The sequence below is a fragment of the Homo sapiens genome, chromosome 16 (genome assembly GCF_000001405.40).
Source record: "Homo sapiens chromosome 16, GRCh38.p14 Primary Assembly".
In the NCBI taxonomy this organism is placed as follows: Eukaryota; Metazoa; Chordata; class Mammalia; order Primates; family Hominidae; genus Homo; species Homo sapiens.
Window position 1 is genome coordinate 83,751,975 of NC_000016.10, and position 20,748 is coordinate 83,772,722.

The window sequence follows — 20,748 nt, forward strand, 5'->3', positions numbered from 1 at the left end:
ACTTATCAGAACAGAAAAGCTTTCCAAAAGGAAGAGGTCTGGACAGAGTACTGAGTACAGAATCAGGGATGAAAATAAGCCAAGATTGTTTAAAATTCTGTGTAAAATGAAAAGTATCCATTACTGATCAGCTAAAGTAACAATGGCAGGGTTCTGTAGTATGTAGAAGTATCTGTATCTGTGGAGAAATTTCTCAGCAAAGAATGTCAAGAAGCATGGATGAAATATAGCGTAGCATGGCTGGCATTTCTTTGTGAAATTTTTTGTGCAATTATAAATCCAAAGAAACTAGAAATGCGGTATACTTGAATTGTTACCAGAAGCGAGAGCCTTCTTTACATGTATGCAGTAATCAGTTAAGTGACACTGTGTGCGTATATACCGTGTCCCGAATATTAAGAAGAACAAAACCAAAATTTGCAGATTAAGAAACAGACACCAAATTTAGTTGGCTTTCTAAAAGTCGTATCATTAGGATAGCATTTTTCTACCTTTAGTTTCTTGCATTTTTAACAGTCTTTAAAATTTCTGTGTGGAAGCAGCAATCTGGTCTAAACTTCCGCCATACCACTTACTAGCTATCTGATTTTGAAGAAATAATTTACAATGTAGTCAGGACCTAATGATACCTTACAGCTGTTTCTCATCTTTGAGACTCATTGAGTCTCATCTATGTTTTCTCAACATTCAGCATACACCTGTATGAACTGTCTGGCTGTGTAACTGTGAAAGCTTCTCACAGACTGTGAGTCTCATTTTCTACATATACAAAATGAAGAAGATAATTCCTACTTATAACGTTGTGAGAAATGAGTGAAGTGCTGTACCCTCTAGATTCTCCATCAAAAGCCATATTAAATGTTCACTACATGTTAATCCCACCCAGGTGGGGGTTTCAGAAAGGAAAGAATAGAGCCAGGAATGATCCTTCCATGACCCAAGAAATATACAGCTTGAAATCCACTTGTTGTCTAACTCTGTTAACGCTAATATCAGACACGGAAATTTAAAATCTGGTACCACAGATGTTTCCAGAGAGCTAAAATGTCCCCAAAGGTGTAATGGTAAATAGAAACCAGGTTGGCATTAACATACAAAACCATCGTTAGGAATAATAATCTCGAACAAGACCCAAAGGACTTACAGCAAAAAGAACATAAATTAAAAAGCCCTTATAAATCAGAGCAACTTTTATTTAAAAGCTCCTTTTTGCCTCACCAAAAACTTACCTCTAGTATTATGTTTAACCCGGAAAAGCCAACACTATCTATTAGATCAAAGTTAGTAGGCCAAGCAAGGTGGCTTACACCTGTAATCCTAGCACTTTGGGAGGCTGAGGTTGGCAGATTGCCTGAACCTAGGAGTTCAAAACCATCCTGGGCAACATGGCAAAACTCCATCCCGAAAAAGAATACAAAAATTAGTCATGCACAGTGGCACATGACTTGTAGTCCCAGCTACTCAGGAGGCTGAGGAAGGAGGATCACCTGAACCCAGGTAGGTCAAGGCTGCAGTGAGCCAAGATCACACCGCTGCACTCTAGCCTGGGCAGCAGAATGAGACCCCGTCTCAAAAAAAAAGTAAATAGTGCTAACTGATCTCTCAACTTTATCCAAAGTGAGCATTTGTTTTTATTAGTTTTATAGAAATTTAATTTATTTGATGGAAGGAGAGAATAAGGATTTTTGGCATATAACACTAGGAAAGCTGAACCAAAATAAATTGATTTCTCCAAACAAAGAGTAACTCAGGAATTTATGCCAAAACATGTTGATAAAATATATGGCTTCGGGAACTTCCATGTAGGATACAGTACGGAAGTGTCCCCACTGTGAAACTAGAAAAATCTAGTTAAATTATAAAAATCAGATAATATAAAAAAATCTTAATTGTAAAGGAATCAGGGAGCTGCAGAAGCATTGACAACTAGATAAACTAAAATACCAAAGAGGGAAAAGTCATTTCAAAAAGAAAACCTTTTTTTTTCTCTGGGTGCATTTTCTGATTCTAGGTGAGAGTCAGGCTTGGCCCATGCAGAGAGCCTAGGATGGAGGGAAAGAAATTAGAAACGAGTGTCAGAATCACAGGGAGCTTTTGTGACAAACTGGAAACTTGAGGGGCTGCTTTTCCTCTGTGGACAAATGCCCTAAAGGACAGAGTGAAATCTCCTTGGGTCTCACAGAAAACAGAGACCTACCAAAGGAAGCAAGCTCTCCTCAAATACATAGCCATTCTCTCATTTAAGATATTTGCCAGATTTTGAAGGTACAAGGAGTTAAAGGATGGGGTGTGGGATGGCTGGAGAGTTAAGATGGTAACCACTGAAGGGAAGAATTGGATTTCCTGGAGCCTTTCAGACTAAGATACTCCAGACTTTCAATCAAAATCCCAGTAGGGCCATGCCCAGCAACAGGAGTAAGCCAGAAGTTGACTCAGTCTTGTTCAACTTGCAATGCGGCCTGACCCTTTTCAAGCCCTTACTAAGTTGATGAAGCAAGGCTCCATCTGATACAGTTTGGCTCTGTGTCCCCACCCAAATCTCATCTTGAATTGTACTCCCATAATTCCCATGTGCTGTGGGAGGGACCCAGTGGGAGATAATTGAATCATGGGGGCAGTTTCCCCCATACTGTTCTCATGGTAGTGAATAAGTCTCATGAGATCTGATGGTTTTATCAGGGGTTTCCACTTTTGCGTCTTCCTCATTCTCTCTTTGCCTGCTGCCATCCCTGTAAGATGGGACTTGCTCCTCCTTGCCTTCCACCATGATTGTGAGGTTTCCCCAGCCATGTGAAACTGTACATTCAATTAAACCTCTTTCTTTTTTAAATTGCCCAGTCTCTGGTATGTCTTTATCAGCAGCATGAAAATGGACTAATACATCATCCTATCTGACTAATACAGGAGAGGGAAAAACTCATAGCACCATATGTCATCTGGAGCCTCTCCAATCTTTTTTTTAATAATGCCCAATTTACAGTTTTATAAAAATTACTTGACCTGTAAAGAAGCAAGAATGTGTAAGTGATGAACAAGAGAAAAATCAGACTACAGAGGATCCAGATATTTGAATTAGCACACAAGAACATTAAAATAAACATGATTAGTATGTTCAAGGAGACAGAATAAAAGATAGATTCAAGCAGAGAGAATTACACAAGAGATCTGAAATCTTTAAGAAGGAATCAGATAGATATTCCAGAACTGAAATACATATTATCATATTAAAAACTCAGTAAGTAGACTTAACAGCAGAACACAGGATTTTTAACCTGGAATATGAATCTATAGCAAACACCACAAGGGAAGCACAGTGAGGATAAAGAACGGGAAAAAATCTGCCAAAAGACTAGTGTGTGGAATTGGAGTTACAGAAGGATAGGAGAGTGCTAATGGAGCAGAAAAAAAAATTTGAAGATGTAATGTCCAGGAATTTTCCAAAACTGATGAAAGACATTCTCCCTATTAAATCAAAAAGTTTAGCAAACCACAAGCTGGATAAATTTGAAGAAAAACACACCTCAAACACTGAAATCAAACTGATGAAAAACAATATCAAAGAGAAAATGTTAAAAATAGCCTGAGAATAAAAGAGGCATTTACCTGCAAATGAGCTACAATATGACTTATGGCTGACTTCTAGATAGAAATAATGGAATGTGGAAGGCAATGGAATAACATTTCTCTGAGCACTTTAAAGATGCCTACCAACCTAGAATTCTTTAGTTCTCAAATTTTTCCCTTCAAAATCAAGGTGAATTAAAGACTTTTGGGGCAAAAAAAAAAAAAATGGAATTGTATTGCAAGCAGGTTTATGCCTTTTACTGAAGAGAATATTTCAGGCAGAGGGAAAATGATGCCAGAGAGGCATAGAAACACAAGAAACATAAATAAAAATAGAAAGTTAAATATGTATAAAGTAAAAAAGTAAATGAAGTAAAATTGTAAGGACATAAGGAGTTAAAAATATTTATAGAACTAAAATGCATGACAGCAGTAACAGAAAAAGTGAGAGGCTATAAACATAGTTAAAACAGTTTCTGCAGCATTGGAGATGTAGTTAAAGCAATACTTTGTATTAGACTCTAATAAGTCAAGTATCTATATTGTATAACCCTTAGGGTAATCACTAAAAGAATATAAAAGAAAGTAAAACTAACAAATTAATAGAAGGAAATAGGTTTGACTAATCCAAAATAAGAAAGGAGGGGGAACAACATTAAAAAGATGGCCAAATAGAACAACAAGGTGATACAGTAAGTATATACCTAATTATACCACAGTAAAATGCAAAATGTAAACAGATTAAATATTTCAAGTAATATTATCAGACTATTTTTAAAAATCAGCAAACTGGATGCTACATACAATAGACACACTTTAAATAAAAGAACAAAGAATGGAAATAAAAGAAAAATATACCTTGATAGTACAGTCTCTCCTAAAAACACATGAAAGTATTTTTTAAAACAAGCTTGTCCAACCCACAGCCTGTGGGCCATATGTGGCCCAGAATGGCTTTGAATGCGGCCCAACACAAATTTTTAAACTTTCTTTAAACAACATTATGAAATTTTTTGGCGCTTTTTTTATAGCTCTTCAGCTACTGTTAGTGTTAGTGTATTGTATGTGTGGCCCAAGACAATTCTTCTTCCAATGTGGCCCAGGGAAGCCAAAAGATTGGACACCCCTGTTTAAAACAAGAAACATGACAAGAGGTAAAGAGGCCATTTCATAATGATGAAGGGAGGTATCAAAAAGAAGGACATCACAGTCCTAAATCTGTATGTACTGGACAGCACAGATTCCAAATATACAGAGCAGAGAAAACTAAAAAGAGAAGTAGACAAATCTACAATCATTGTGGGAGTCTTAAAACATCTCTCATATCAGCTTCAAGAAAAAACAACAAGGAGTAAAGCTGTAAAAGATTTGAACAAAATAATTAACAAATTTCATCAACTAACATATATAGAACTCTGAACTCAACAACTGAGTTCATTCTTTTCAAATTCCCAAGGAAAATTACCTAAATTGTTTGCATGCAGAGCATATAGAAAAGTCTAACAAACGTTTTTAACTGCAATTATTTCTAGTATATCCTCCAATCACAATGGAATTAAACTAAGCATTAGTAGCAAAATATAACCAGAAACACCCTAACTGACTGAACATAAAACAGTACACTTCCAAATAACTCATAATCAAAAACAAAAATAGAAATATGAAATGTCAAAACTTGTGGGATGCACTAAACCAGTGCTCAGAGGAAAATTCTAGAAAATAGGAAACAAATATACAAGACAAAATCAACAAATCCAGGCTGGGCACGGTGGCTCACTCCTGTAATCCCAGAATTTTGGGAGGCTGAGGCGGGTGAATCACCTGAGGTCAGGAGATCGAGACCAGCCTGGCCAACATGGCAAAACCCTGTCTCTACCAAACGTACAAAGATTAGCTGGATACAGTGGCATGTGCCTGTAATCTCAGTTACTTGGGAGCCTGAGGCAGGACAATCGCTTGAACCCAGGAGGCGGAGGTTGCAGTGAACCAAGATCGCACCACTGCATCCCAGCCTGGGTGACAGAGCGAGACTCTGTCTCTAAAAAATTTTTAAAAATTGAAAATCAACAAATCCAAAAGTTTGTCCTATAAAAAGATTGAATAAAATTGTAAACTCATATCGAAACTGTTGGGCAAAAAAAGAAAAAAACACAAATTACCAACACTGGGAATAAAAAAGGGAAAATGACTATAGCCATCAAAAAGATACAAAGATATTATGAACGGCATTATGCAATATATTTGACAATTTGGACATAATGGACAAGTTTCCCCAAAATTAAAACTTATCAAAAATAACCTAAAAAGAGGCTGGGCATGGTAGCTAATGCCTGTAATCCCAGCACTTTGGAGGCCGAGGCAGGAAGATCACTTGAGGCCAGGAATTTGAGACCAGCCTGGCCAACATGACAAAGCCCCTTCTCTGCTAAAAAATACAAAAATTAGCTGGGTATGGTGGTGCACGCCTGTAATCCCAGCTGCACTCTGTCCCAAAAAAAAAGAAAGAAAAAGAAAAGAAGAAAATCTTAACTAGCCCAGTGCTTATGGAAAAAAAAAAAATGTTCTTGAAAACCAAAAAGAAAACTACAGATCCAGATGGCTTTGCTACATGTTTCCAAATATTTAAGAAAGAAAAACAATTTTATACAAACCCTTCCAGAAACAGAAATAGAAGAAATACTTAATCCCTCTTTTTATGAGACAAGGTTTTTCCAAAACCTGACAAGATCTTACAAGAAATTAAAATTGCAGACCGATCTCACTCATGAGCATAAATTTTTAAATTCTTAACAAAAATATTAATGAATCCCACAAAAATGATATGATCATCTCAAGAGTTGCATTTGAAAAAAATTCATGTTGATTTCTGATTTTTTTAAAATAATGTTTAGCAAACTAGGAAACTTTTTTAGTCTAGTTTTAAAAAAAAAATAACAGAAGGAGCTGCTGCTACAGCAAACATCTTCCTCAATGGTGAAATAGTAAAAACTTTTTTTGTGACCTCAGTCCCAGCCAGAGCGAGAAGGCAAACAAAAGAAATACTAGGCTTAGGAATTAAAAGTAAGAAATCTCTTTATTCATAAATGATATGCCTAAAATAATCTAAAAGAATTTTCAGAGAATCTATTACTGATTTTAGTAAAGGTCATCAGGTATAAGATCAGTATACACAATTAATTGTTTTATATACCCCAGCAGTAAGCAAATGGAAAATAAAATTCTAAAAGATACTGTTTGCAATATCATCAGAAACACCAAATAGCAAGGTATAAATTTAAAGAAAGATATGCAAGTCCTCTACAATGAAAACTACAAATGACTGCCTAAGATAATTTTTGTCTCCCTATTTAAGCCCACATTAACGGAGAGATATACCATGTTCATGGATTGGAAGGCTCAATGGTATTGAAATGACAATTCTTTTCAAACCGACCTGAGGGATTCAATGCAATACCATGCAAAGTCCCAATCCCAGCATGGGGATCGGGGCAGAAATTGATACACTGATTATAAAATTTATATGGAAATACAAGGAGTGAAAAATGGCCAAGGCAATCTTGAAGAATAAGTTGTAGAACTTACACTACCGTACATATATCCAGACGTATTAGAAAACCATAGTAATTGAAACCATGGTATTTGCACAAAGATGGGAACAAGCTGACCAATGCAATAGAATAGAGAATTCAGGAAGAATTCCACACATACCCAGTTTCTGATTCTAACAAGGAAAACACAACACAGCAGTGCAGGTGAGAAAGCATGGTCTTTCAATAAATAAGGCCAAGTTGATTGAATAAACATATTTTTTAAAATGCATCCTGACCCCCTCTTAAACCATATACAATAATTAATTCTAGATATATTACAGATCAAAATATAGAAGGAAAAAATGCATATTTTAGAGAAAAACATATGAGAACATATATGTCCTTTGTGTAAGCAAAGCTTTTCGTAATTAGGATACAAAAGTACTAACCACAAAAGAAAAAAAAAAGATAGATTACATTGAAATTAAGAGCTTTGATTCTTCAAATGACACAGTTAAGAAAGTAAAAAGTAACCTACAGAGTAGAAGATATTTATAATACAAAGAAATGCTGCAGGCCTGGTACAGTGGCTCATGCCCTATAATCCCAGCACCTTGGGAAGCCAAGGTGGGCAGATCACTTGAGCCAAGGAGTTTGAGACCAGTGTGAGTAATAAAGCAAGACCTTATCTTTACAAAAAATAAAAAAAATTATCCAAGTGGTGTGGCACACACCTGTGGTCCCAGCTACACAGGAGGCTGAGGCAGGACGATCACTTGAGCCCAGGAGTTCAAGGCTGCAGTGAGCCATGATCACACCACTGCACTCCAGCATGGAGGACAGAGTGAGATCCTGTCTCAAAACCAATAAAAAAAAAAAAAAAAAGAAAGAAATCCTATAATCTGTAAGCAAAAGACACAACCCAAAGAAGAATAGATAAGAGACTTAAACAAATACTTCACAGCAGAAAATACACAAATCCTAACAAATGTATGAAAAGATGCTCAACTTAATTAAATAAAGATATATACATTAAATTATACAAATATAAATTAAAACACAAATTAATCAAGGAAATACAATGAAGTGCAGTACAGCAGCATACCTATAAAATGGCTGAAATGAAAAGATGAAAAATACCCAGTGCTGGCAATGGTGTGAAATAATTGGAACTCTCCTACACAGCTGGTAGAAGTGTAAATTGGGTACAGCCACGTTGGAAACATAGTATCAACTAAAGCTGAACATACATATGCCCTATGTTCCAGGAATTACATGCCTAGGTATTATCTATCCAACAGAAATGTGTTCCCCAAAACACGAGTGCCAGAATATCCACTATTCATAAGAGCCCAAAGTTGGAAATTATCCAGATGCCCAGCAAAAGTTGAATAATAAATTGTGATACATTCACAAAATGGCATCTGTACAATAATAATGAGTGAATGAACTGCAACTATTCACAACATCATGGGTGAATCTCACAAACATAGTGTGCAGCAAAAGAAGGCTGAAACAAGAACACACATGCTAAATGACTGCATTTATATAAAGCTCAAACCCAGGCGAAATTAATCCTAGCCAGCAGATCACCTTGTGGATGGGTTTCTTGATCTGGTAGTACTAGACTACATGGGTGTGTTCAGATTGTGAAAATTCTTCAAACTGTGTGTTTGATACATGAAGATTTCTATGTTTCAATAAGAACCTAACAAAAAATGCATGGCTGCAGAGAGAGAGCACGTAGCTAGTCCTGTAACCATTCACATATTCTCAAGTACCTTCTGAGCATTTAGACAGACTCTCAGCATCTTGTTCCAAGGAAGGGCAATCCCTGTTTGCTGATGGGCCAATTTTGCCAGGAAAGGTGAGTGATAAGAGTTCTACATAAGGAACAAAGCAAAGCAAATCATGTTCCCTGCAGTCCCTACCATGCTTTGCAACGGGCAGAAGTGACACCATCGTTAACTTGCTACACACAGCTCAACATACTCAGTTTATAACAATTTTAAGATGGTAGCAAACGATAACTTTCCTTTAAATACCCCTTAGAGGATACAAACTGTCAGATCAGAATGGAGTGATGTCAAAAGAGCAGGACTGAAAACCTGATCTGAGGTTAACAGAAATAAAGAGCCCTTTGGACCTATTTGCTTGGGGCCCCAGAGCTAGTCTAGATAATTTCTAGAATCGTGCTTCATAATAATTTTGATAATGCCTAGGTTGCAGATGACTTGAGGAGGAAAAGACACGTTGTAACCAACAGAATATTCAAGGTACTTTCTTTAAACTTAAAAGAAAATCCTTGGCTAGATTACATTTCACTGAGTTTAGTTGAGCAAAGAACAATTGGTGAATTGGGCAACCTCTCAAGCCAAAGTAAGCTGAGAGAGACTCCAGCGCAGGCATGTAGTGGAAGAAGATTTATGGACAGAAAAAGGAAAATGATGTACAGAAAATGGAAATGAGGCACAAAAGCAGCTGGATTGGTTACACTCGGCATTTGCCTTATTTGAACGCTATTTGAACAGTTGGCCCTTTGATTGGCTCAAACTCCGAGACTGGCACGAGAGTAGGTGACAGTCTGTTTACACCTCCATTCAGATTATAGTTCACTATGTACAGGGAAACCTTTAGGCGGAACTTAGCATATTTAAGAAGGCAGCTTTAGGCTAACTTGATTTTACAAACTGTTATCAGTAATTTTAATGCACTATAACCAGCAAAGTGGCTCACGCTTGTAATCCCAGCACTTTGGGAGGCTGAGGCAGGTGGGTCACTTAAGGTCAGTAGTTCGATACCAGCCAGGCCAACATGGTGAAACCCCTTCTCTACTAAAAATACAAAAATTAGCCAGGCGTGGTTGTGCATGCCTGTAGTCCCAGCTACTCAGGAGGCTGAGGCAGGAGAATCGCTTGACCCTGGGAGGCAGAGGTTGCAGTGAGCTAACGCCACTGCACTCCAGCCTGGGTGACAGAGCGAGACCCCACCTAAAAAATAAAATAAAAATAAAATAAGTAATTTTAATGAGCTGTAAATTACCTAAGAACATTGTTTCAATAAAACAGAAATGCTTTTGTTTTGCTACATCAAAACTGGCTGTGGCCAAATGACTTGATGAGTAAAGCCTTTAATCCTATAGATTAATAAGTTGTGACCTTTAATGCTGGCATTTTATCTTTAGAGATGAATATCGTCATTTGCCTTATATGGTCCAGATTTTCTGAAAGGTCAAAATAGTGCCTTCAGAGTACAGGCACTCTTTTATGGAAGACTTCAATGAACACAGAATTGCTGCCCTCTCTTAAGAAAGGATAAAATAAAAAAAACTGTTAAGGAAAAACCCAAGCGGTAGAGAGAACATTCGGGAATGCAATAAAATGGAATCCCTTTGGGGATGTGCTGGCAGTGGAGCAAGGCAGTAGCAATTAGCACTGGCCAAATCCCAGTGTCAATACCACTCCTGCCTACAGGTAATCACCAGAAAGGTCAAATGTTAGTCGCCCTGTCTTATGTGGGCTGAAAACTGTCACAGGCGATTTCTCGTAAGGGTTCTGGAATCCCACTGGGGACGGCCACAGGCAGGAAAGGCATCGTTGGCCGCTGCTTCTTGGCTCACTCACTCCACGCTCACTGCTCAGAATTCTCTGAGACTGGTCTTCCTGCCTCCTTCTTACTGGTAACCTAATCTTTCCCCCTCCTCTTGCTTGAAAATTGTGTAGGGTTCATTGTTCCATGATTGTTATTGAATGGGGCTCTTATGCTCTCACAGAAGACCTAAATGATGACTGCAAACAATGAAGACAAATATTTTGCTCCAGGAAGCCCAAATGCCCTCTCACACTCTGCCAAGTTTAAAGAAAGACGAAAACAAAAGGTGTCCCTGTTAGTTCCCCCTAAGGCTCAGGGCATATGAAATAGTTTGAACCTGGCAGCCCAAACCATCTCTACGGGGCCCGTATTAAGTCTTTATATGATTATCAAACGCGTCATATTCCCCATCTATTTCCATTTAAAAGAACGGGGGAGTGATGGCTTTTAAAACAAGCCAAATTACCACTAAATTCAGCAGCATGTTTTCATGACTTAGCAACTTATATAAAGTATGTTTGAGCCTGCCAGTGAAAAATGTGATGTGGGTTGCCAAGAAGACACACAGATATAGAACCAGGCATAACAGCTGTAAAATTAAAATGGAATAGACTAAGATAATGATTTTTCATAGGCTAAGATATATCATGTCCCAGCCTGTCTTCTCCTTCAGTCCTCTGTAAGATAGATGTTCCAATAATGCCAGCTGATTCAAAATTGAAATATTGTTCAAAATATGCTTAGATTGATTTTTTTTAAAAATTGTTATTCAGCCCCAGAGTGAAATGACTACTGAACTACTGAATTTATAGCCCCCAAACTGAGGGTGGGAGGGGCTCTGAACTGAACTTCAGAAAGATACCTCAGCCTGTGGTCTTTCTCTTTTCATAGCTCAACCAAGCTCTAGACTGCAGGGGGGATATAGTAAGATTATTTAGATTGATTCTACTTAAAAGATGCTAGTTTGGATAAAATGAAGCCATTAGTTATGATGGCAACCCAATCAAGCCAGTTTAACACCCCTTATCTCAGCTGTGATATTAATTGAGGAGGAAAAATAAATTGATGACCCAGCCATCATTCCGCCTTACTTCAAGCACTCGCAAAATATCAGTCATGTTGAAAATACTACCTACAGTTTGTCACTGACAAAATGGCCCAATAAAAGAACTCTTAAGATCTGGTAATAGTGAGGTGTGATCAGAGCCATTGGAGGGGCAGCACACTGGGTCCACTGAGATAATGGAGCCTAGTGCCATCTACACCTCAGGATGAGTTCAGCTCCGCATCTTAGCTGTGCAATGATAGCCGAGAGACTTACACTCTCTCAGCCTCAATTTCCCCACCTGCAGAATGAAGATAATGCCATCTGCCTGCTGGGTTGTTAGAGGGTTGGAAATCATGAATGCACAATTCCCAGTACTCCTAAGCATATAAGAAATGCTTAAGTGAACTGACTTGAACTGAGTCATGGACTGATCTTCTAAGCATGTCATTACAGAATCATGAGTGCTGAGGCAAACTATGAAAAGGCACTTATGACCACCGTGGTGGTGATCTGAGCATTTTTCTAGGGAATGGATGGGCCATGGACCCCCCCACTTGGACAAGGATGCTAAATCCAATTAGCCAGAAAAGGTGTCCTTGGACGTTGGCATCAATTCATGGAGCTTGTCTCTGGCTGAATGGGCAGGTGGAAGCCTGACAGCAGGACATTTCTACATTGATCAGGCAAATCAACTATCTTAAACAGAACATTTTCATTCATTTTTTATGCAAAAGAAACTGATTTTGACATTAAAATACTGTCAGTGATGCCCATCTCAACCAGTTCATCCTGCCAAAGTGTCTTTTAGCTGGTCCCCCACTGGAGTCCCCCTTCCCCAGCTTTATATTGGCATTGCCATCTACCCAGTCCTCAAGCAAGACCCCTTCCTCTGTGAGGCTCCCACCCCCTCAGCCTGCTCAGCCTCCTGAAGTCAGCCCTTTACTCTTGCATCCTGCCTGCCTTCCCTGAGGCCCTTGCCACGGCTGCTCAGCCTCCTGAAGTCAGCCCTTTACTCTTGCATCCTGCCTGCCTTCCCTGAGGCCCTTGCCACGGCTGCTCAGCCTCCTGAAGTCAGCCCTTTACTCTTGCATCCTGCCTGCCTTCCCTGAAGCCCTCGCAATGGCCTCCATGACAGTCCTGGCCTCCTCACTCAAGTCCATTCCTGCCTGTGCGTCTGCATCCTCTGCTTTGTATCAAAGCCATTCTCCTGCTTTAAAGTCTTTGAACTTCTCACAAAATAGCCACACCACTTCGTCCCCCTACAACAACCTTCATCCTCTCTACAAGGTATTCTCATTTCTAGCACACTCAAATGCCATCTCTTCATGAAGCCTTCTGATCTATCCCCAGGCAGTTAATTATCCCAAGCCACAAGTATTTTATTATCACCTCTCTTCCTGTGCTTGTAACACCATCCCACATCTGCTTACATATCTGTTCCTGCCATAGCATTAGCGTTTCAAGAGCAGGCACCTGTACCATTGACATTAGCACATTTCCATCCAGGCAGAGGGTAGAGTCCCAGTAAATGGTTATTGACTGAATGAATAAAATGAAACTGTCATGTTTAAACATGGCCTCAAAATTAATTATTTCCCTTTTTTTCTTTTATCTAAAGTCAGTGGAATGGAAAAAAAAACCAAAAAGTTGAATTTTTGTACAACAGTTTAGTTTTACATTATTGTCTCTTCTAAAATAATTTTTCAGCCCAAATTATGTGGATAATTGCTTCAGTTCTACATCAAGTATAGTATACACGGAAACCTGGCGTTATATTATTGCAAACTTATTTTCCACCAGACTTTTTGTTGGCTTACTATTAACATTTTTCTATATATATATATATACACACACACAAAGAGAGAGAGAGAGAGAGAGATTTCTGAGATGAAATTGGCAAGATCTCTATTAGCAAAGCAATAAAACTGATCTTAAGTTTAAAAACAATGAGATTCTCAGCTTATAGAGCTGATTTGTAAAATACTGGTGCTGAAAAACCATATTAAAGAGAACACAAAGTATAAAATAAAACAAAGGATAACCTTAGAAGACTCCTGGTTCACTTACAGCTTTCTTTTTTTTTTTCTATTTTTATCTTAAACAGGAGGTACACGTGCAGGTTTGTTACCTGGCTCACTCTCAGTTTTAAAGCAAAGGTGAAGGTACATTTAGAGTCCTGTTCAGATGACATAAGAGGCCTGGCATGTATTTGCTCACAGCTGCTTATTGAAGGTTCAACAGATGCACAGCTACCTAGAGGGAATTTGGGGCCATAGATTGTACCGCTCTTGTGTCCATGCTCAAGATTGCTCATTAGCTCACATCTAAATTGTGGCTCCTCTCAGATGGGCCCATCTTCCTGATTATCCTCCCAGAATGTGGGCCTCAGGCTTCCTTGGGACACTAGCCAAGGTCCCTCTCTATGTCCCTGGTATGGGCACCCTGTTCTGAGTCCCAGCTCTGCAGACCTCTGCCCCACCACACACTGTTTTCTCCCCAAGGGTTAGATTAGGAAGGATTTGAATTTAGACAGAGCCACTACTCTCAAAATAGAAGCAAACTTATGGAAATACAAACATATATGATTACATTTACAGGAAGAGCCATACATATTTGTTTTTTAAATCAAATTATAGGTTGGCACAAAAATAATTGTAGTTTTTGCCATTGCAAGTAATGGCAAAAAACCACAATTACTTGTGCATCAACCTAAGAATTCAAACATATGCTGAGCACTTATTATATGGGCTTCCTGTTTTCCCTGTTCTCTGTCTTCCTACATTTCATTGTTCACACAGACAACCTCACTTTGCACACTGTTTCCAAATAAAACCACTTGTACTCATAACTTCCAAGGTAAGACATATGCTGCATGCCTCTGGGCCTACCTCTGGGAAGATTTGGGACAAGTGGCTGGAAAAGTCTACTACTTTCTAAGACTTCTCAGAGCTAACTTCTGAAAGTTTGTGTTGAGATCCTAACATTCTGTGCCTATGAAACCAACCCATCTGATATGGTTTGGCTGTGTCCCCACCCAGAATCTCTTCTTAATTGTAATCCCCACATGTCAAGGGCAGGACCAGGTGGAGGTAACTGAATCATGGGGGCAGTTTCCTTCATGCTGTTCTCATGGTAATGAGTGAGTCTCACAAGAACTGACTGTTTTATAAGCATCTGGCATTCCCCTGCTTGCACTCACTCTGTGCTGCCACCCTGTGAAGAAGATGCCTGCTTCTCCTTGTCTTCTGCCATGATTGTAAGTTTCCTGAGGCCTCCCCAGCAACTCGGAACGGTGAGTCAATTAAACCCCTTTCCCTTATAAATTACCCAGTCTCGGGCAATTCTTTATAGCAGCATGAGAATGGACTCATATACCATCTCACTGTGGCAAGACCAGGGATCCTATTCTTCTAATGGGACCCTCTTGGGAGAGGCATTTGGAGTCTTGTCTTACTGGTCTAGAAATTTTGTAACATGTATATCTAGTCCTTTGTGTTCCGATGTGGATAGCAGCTGATGAGGTTTGGCTGTGTCCCCACCCAAATCTCACCTTGAGTGGTAATAATCCCCAAGTGTCGAGGGTGGGGCCATCTAGAGTAATGGAATCATGGGGGCAGTTTTCCCCGTACTGTTCTTATGGTAGCGAATAAGTCTCAAGAGATCTGATAGTTATATAAACGGGAGTTCTCCTGCATGAGCTCCCTTGCTTGCTGCCATGTAAGTTGTGACTTTGCTTCTCATTCTCCTTCTGAATGATTATGTGGAACTGTGAGTCAATTAAACCTCTTTCCTTTACAAATTAGCCAGTCTTGGGTATATCTTTATTAGCAGTATGAGGATAGACTAATACAGAAACATTATTCGTAATAGACAAAAAGTGGAAACAACTCCAATGTCCATCAGCTGGTGAGTAGATAAACAACATGGTCTATCCATACAATGGATTATTATTCAGCCATAAAAAAGAATGAAGTATTAATACACACTGCAACATGTACAACCCTCAAAAACATTATGCTAAGTGAAAGAATCCAGACCCAAAAAACTACCTACTATATGACTCCATTTATATTAAATCTTCAAAATAGGCGAATCTGTAGAGACAGAAAATTGATCAGTAGTTGCCAGGGGCTGGGAGTGGGCATGAAGAGTTAGTACAAATTGGCCCAAGGTTTATTTTTGGGGGTGATGAAATGTTCTAAAAGTAGGTAGTGGTGATGGTCGCACAACTCTGTAAATGTACTAAAAATTAATAGTCGCAAAAATAAAGAGTAAGAAAAAAGTAAAGTAGAATTAGAAAAAAATATTTTTAATCCCTGCATAATTCTGAGTTTAACATGTTCATGGTTATTGTAAAGAAAATTAAAAATAGATAAATGTATTATTTTAATGTTAATTACCTAGGGAAATAATCACCACTTACATTTTTATATATGTCTTTCTAATTTTTCTCTAATCATATGTAGATTTTTAAATTAGGATCACACTATGTTTTTAGTTATGTCTATTAATGACAAGATATAAAGCACTTATATATATAGCTACTGAACAACAGAACCTGTGAAAAAAAAATCTCAGTGTTTTTTAGCTAAGTGGAAATCCTGTTTGGTCAAGGTTTTTCATGAAATAAAATCCCTGAAATTTAAATAGACAAAAAAACACACACACAAATTGTAATCGCAATAGGTTTGTTAACCAATGCACACAGCAAATCAATATGCCATGACACCAGGTTGCAGCAGAGAAACAGGTTTAATCATAGTGTTAATGGAAAGGGGTCATGATCCAGACCCCAAGAGAGGGTTCTTGGATCTCATGCAAGAAAGAATTCAGGGCTAGTCCACAGAGTAAAGTGAAAGCAAGTTTATTAGGAAAGTAAAGGAATAAAAGAATGGCTACGACATCGAGCAGCCCCAAGGGCTGCTGGTTGCCCATGTTTATAGTTTTTTCTTGATGATATGCTAAACAAAGGGTGAATTATTCATGTCTCCCCTTTTTAGACCATATAGGGTAACTTCCTGATGTTGCCATGGCATTTGTAAACTGTCATGGTGCTGGTTGGAGTGTAGCAATGAGGATGACCAGAGGTCACTCTCATCGCCATCTTGGTCTTGGTGGGTTTTAGCCGTCTTCTTTATTGCAACCTGTTTTATCAGCAAGGTCTTTATAACCTATATCTTGTGCTGACCTCCTATCTCATCCTGTGACTTAGAATGCCTTAACCGTCTGGGAATGCAGCCCAGTAGGTCTCATCCTCATTTTACCCAGCTCCTATTCAAGATGGAGTTGCTCTGGTTCAAACACCTTGACCACAGGGTCACAGAACGAGAAGATGGGAGGGAACCTCAAAGCCATTTCCCCAAGGAAGTTGAGGCTTGGGTTTTTGAGGGCTTTGGAGTGGGCAGAAGTGTGGAGATCAAGAGTACAGGGTGAAGTCATAGGAAGGGGAGAGGAAGCAGCTGTGTTCTCATGCTGATCCTGTTCCCCTGTGGGAGACTTCCAACTGGTGGCTGGAATTCTGGGGAGGTGTGTCTGAAAAACATCTTAAGTGTCTATAGGAACAATGGGGATGCAAATCAATTCTTAAACAGTCTTCTGGCCTTAATGTCAGAGATCCTATCTAGGGGAACGGTGGGGAAGCAAATGTCAGGATCTAGTGCTACTGTAACTGAGGAACTGGTTAGCCACTCACTGCAGCAGAGTCCAATTAACAAGATCCAGGCCTGGTACAAGAAAAGTGAATTTATTTTTGAAGCTAGCTTGGAAAGACACAAAGTGTCCTGCTTTAAGTGTGCTGCTTCATCTTTGGAGCAAAAAGCAGACATGTTTATAAGGTTAAAGGGGAAGTGAGCAAGGGCAGGAAGTCCCCCTGCTAGCCTGGTGTCTTATCTACCAAACAGCTGAGTTGGCATACAGTTGAGTTGGTGCCTTCCTGGGCAGAAATAAGTTGTAAAAGTGGCCAAGTGGGCGTGTTTTCACCATGTCCTCCTGAGGCCACCCCAGAAGTGGGAGTTCCGTGGAGATGTGCTTTGATCTGCAAATTGACTGTCAATTCTGGAGAAGAGATCACTGGGGCACGTAGATGACCTTGCCTTGTAGGGAATGTGTGGTGAGGGGGAGGTGAGAGGTTATTTTGCATTTCAAAAAGGGCTAGGTAGGAAGCAGGCTGAAAGGGGAAAGGAGAAGAGAAGAGAAAAAAGTAATTAAACCACCTCAGAAAAATCAGGGTACTTGGTTACGGTACATGACCTACTGCAACAAGGAACTGGGCCAGGGTGCAGCCTGATTAACGCTGAATTATAACTGTATTTGTACCCAGAACCTGGCATGCAATTCCCGTCAACCCTGTGGGGATGGTTTCAAAACCTGACCCTGTTTCTCATTGCATCCACACCCACAGCGTCAAAGCAATGCCAGGAGAACCACGCGTGGCTCATGTTTCTTGGAGGAGTCCTGGTTCAGTTCTACAGGCTTCCCACACAAAGCAATATACTGTTGGCCATGTAGGTAAGAAAAGCACAGGAAACTGTTTTTTACCCTTTCTACCAGTGTTTAGTACCAACCACAAGCACCAAAATACTCAAACTTCGAGCTCTGTGGCTCTGGCTCTTATGGACGGGGAAGTGCTTTACAATTGCCAGGCATTCCATTCACTTTATAGAATAGCCAGAAAGCTCCAGGGATGGGGATGCCCTGCCAGGGGGCCACAGCTCTTAAACAGGTGACATGCTTGTGACTGGAAAGAGGTCCCGATCCAGACTCCAAGAGAGAGTTCTTAGATCTCACGCAAGAAAGAATTCAGTGCGAGTCCATTAAGTGAAAGCAAGTATATTAGGAATGTAAAGGAATAAAAGAATGGCTACTCCCCGTAGACAGAGCAGCCCCAAAGGCTGCTGGTTGCCCATTTTTGAGGTTATTTATTGATGATATGCTAAACAAGGGGTGGATTATTCATGCCTCCCCTTTTTAGATCATAGAGAGTAACCTCCTGATGTTGCCATGGCATTTGTAAACTGTCATGGTGCTGGTGGGAGTGCAGTAGTGAGGACCACGAGAGGTCACCCTTGTCACCATGTTGATTTTGGTGGGTTTTGGCCAGCTTCTGTACTGCAACCTGTTTTATCAGAAAGGTCTTTATGTCCTGTATCTTATGCTGACCTCCTATCTCATCCTGTGACTTAGAATGCCTTAACCACCTGGGAAGGCAGCCCAGTAGATCTCTGCCTCATTTTACCCAGCACCTATTCAAGATGGAGTTGCTCTGATTTCAATGCCTCTGACACACTAATGTTAGAGCACCTTGGACATTTTCCTTAATCTGAGTGTCTAGTTTTCTTTTCTAGAAAATGAGAAAAAACTAGAATGTAGACCCCCATGTGCTCAAAGCAACAGCCTGCCTGGTTTGCTTGGACTTTTCCTAGACTGTATGATAACAGGTGCTCGATTCCTCTACGTAAATCTTCACCTTTTATTAATCATATTACCCTGCTTCTCTTAGAAAACGCACAGTTCTGCCCTCCCTACACCAAGATCACAAAAGGCTAAGTGTAAGTCATGAGCCAACCAGACCAAGAGTAACCCAGGCAGGCCAGGTGGCCAACTTGGCCATCTCATAGGCAGTTATCACTGCTCAACTTGAAGAAATACAAGGTTAATTATTGGAGTTTGAAATCCAGCAGTGGAATCCATGTGGTCCTATCGTGGTCATATAATGTGCTGAGGCTCTTACAAGTTGTCAGTGCTGAGTGGGAACGACAAAGCCAGAAACAAGGGCAAGCAGAGGTTGAATGCCAGGAAGACCGTGGCAGGGTGCCAAGTCCATGAAGCAAAAGCACCGCCATGGTCTAAAAGGCATAGTCCTCTAGAGCAACAGAGCCAGTAACTCAGATCCAAAGGAAAGAAAATGATAACCCTTTCCCCCTCAAGACTTGCCATTGTATGGCAGCAGGAGGGCTGCTTGCAAAATAAATAACCCACCAACATTTGTAGGTTGGAGATCTCTCAGTCAAGAGTGACAGGCTGTCACTGAAAATGGGTCGGAAGGAAAACTGTCATTCCTACTAAGCAATTTTAAATAGGCTTTGTTTCCAGATATCTGTGCCTACAAGTCCTCATTTCCTCATTTGGAAATGGGATTTGATATGGTTGTATTAGGAGGTAAAATTAAAAATATCTCCTTACATCCCATTCACACTGCTGCATGATGGAATTGCCAACCTTGTAACCAAAACACATGTCTTTCTAATAAGAAGTCAATGACACAAGAGAAAAGAGATTCCTGCAGCTAAGGTTTGCTCCTGGTATTTTCCCCATGATATCACCCAACACAATGTACACTCTGTGGGTGGAGAAGGATGGGGGGTGACTTTTTAGCTTGTATACTTATTTGAGAACCTTAAATGAGATGCCTATTAAACTATCCATGTATACAAATAGACTCAATATTAAGAAAAGAAGTAGTATAAGACTGAAAGACATGCTTAAGAGAAAGGAGGGAGCCATACTTCAGGAATGGAGAAATGAAGAAAAATCTATACTGGCTAAAGTCAGGTTAGCTAGGAGGGAACATATGAGGAAGGCCCAAGTCTTATGCTGCTAGAAGCCAGGGCAGAGGCAGTAGGCTGGAAAGGACCAGTGGTCATCTTGGAAATATGTGCTCCACTTGAAGCCATTTGGATAAAAAATAAGAATTCTTAGAACACTGGACATCCCAGAAACACGATAAATTAGCAGACCAAATGCCAGTCTGCAACTGCTGGTTAAAAAGAAAAATCCAATTACTTATAACACTGAATATAGGTCAGCAGAAACTCCCGGCATCAAAGAAACTCTGACCATAAAGACTTAGTGTATATTTTTACAAAACACTTCACAGGGCCTTGTGGATCAATCATGGATTCAATTTTGTTCTACAAATTAAAATCAAGCCATGTTTAAAGCAATCTCATTAAGTCGCTTGCCAACGGGTGCACACAGTACCACACTCCTGGTGTGACATGACCATTCTTATCATTC

General features: G+C 39.7%; 1 protein-coding gene and 1 long non-coding RNA gene across 10 annotated transcripts in view, besides 1 other annotated feature; one reads left to right on the forward strand and one right to left on the reverse strand.

Moving 5' to 3' along the window:
* CDH13 (cadherin 13) overlaps nt 1–20,748 on the forward strand; it is a 1,173,672-nt gene that overhangs the window by 1,125,006 nt on the left and 27,918 nt on the right. The gene's annotated exons all lie outside the window — the stretch shown is intronic.
* Nucleotides 1–20,748, reverse strand: part of CEDORA (CDH13 antisense oligodendrocyte and neuron associated lncRNA) — a 52,560-nt gene that overhangs the window by 31,585 nt on the left and 227 nt on the right. The window lies entirely within an intron of this gene.
* Nucleotides 17,499–17,638: an enhancer, noted in NCBI's record as "active region_11231". NCBI's record gives its function as "activates an Ori minimal core promoter by ATAC-STARR-seq in GM12878 lymphoblastoid cells {active_cell/tissue: GM12878}" and the evidence as "EXISTENCE:reporter gene assay evidence [ECO:0000049][PMID:35858748]".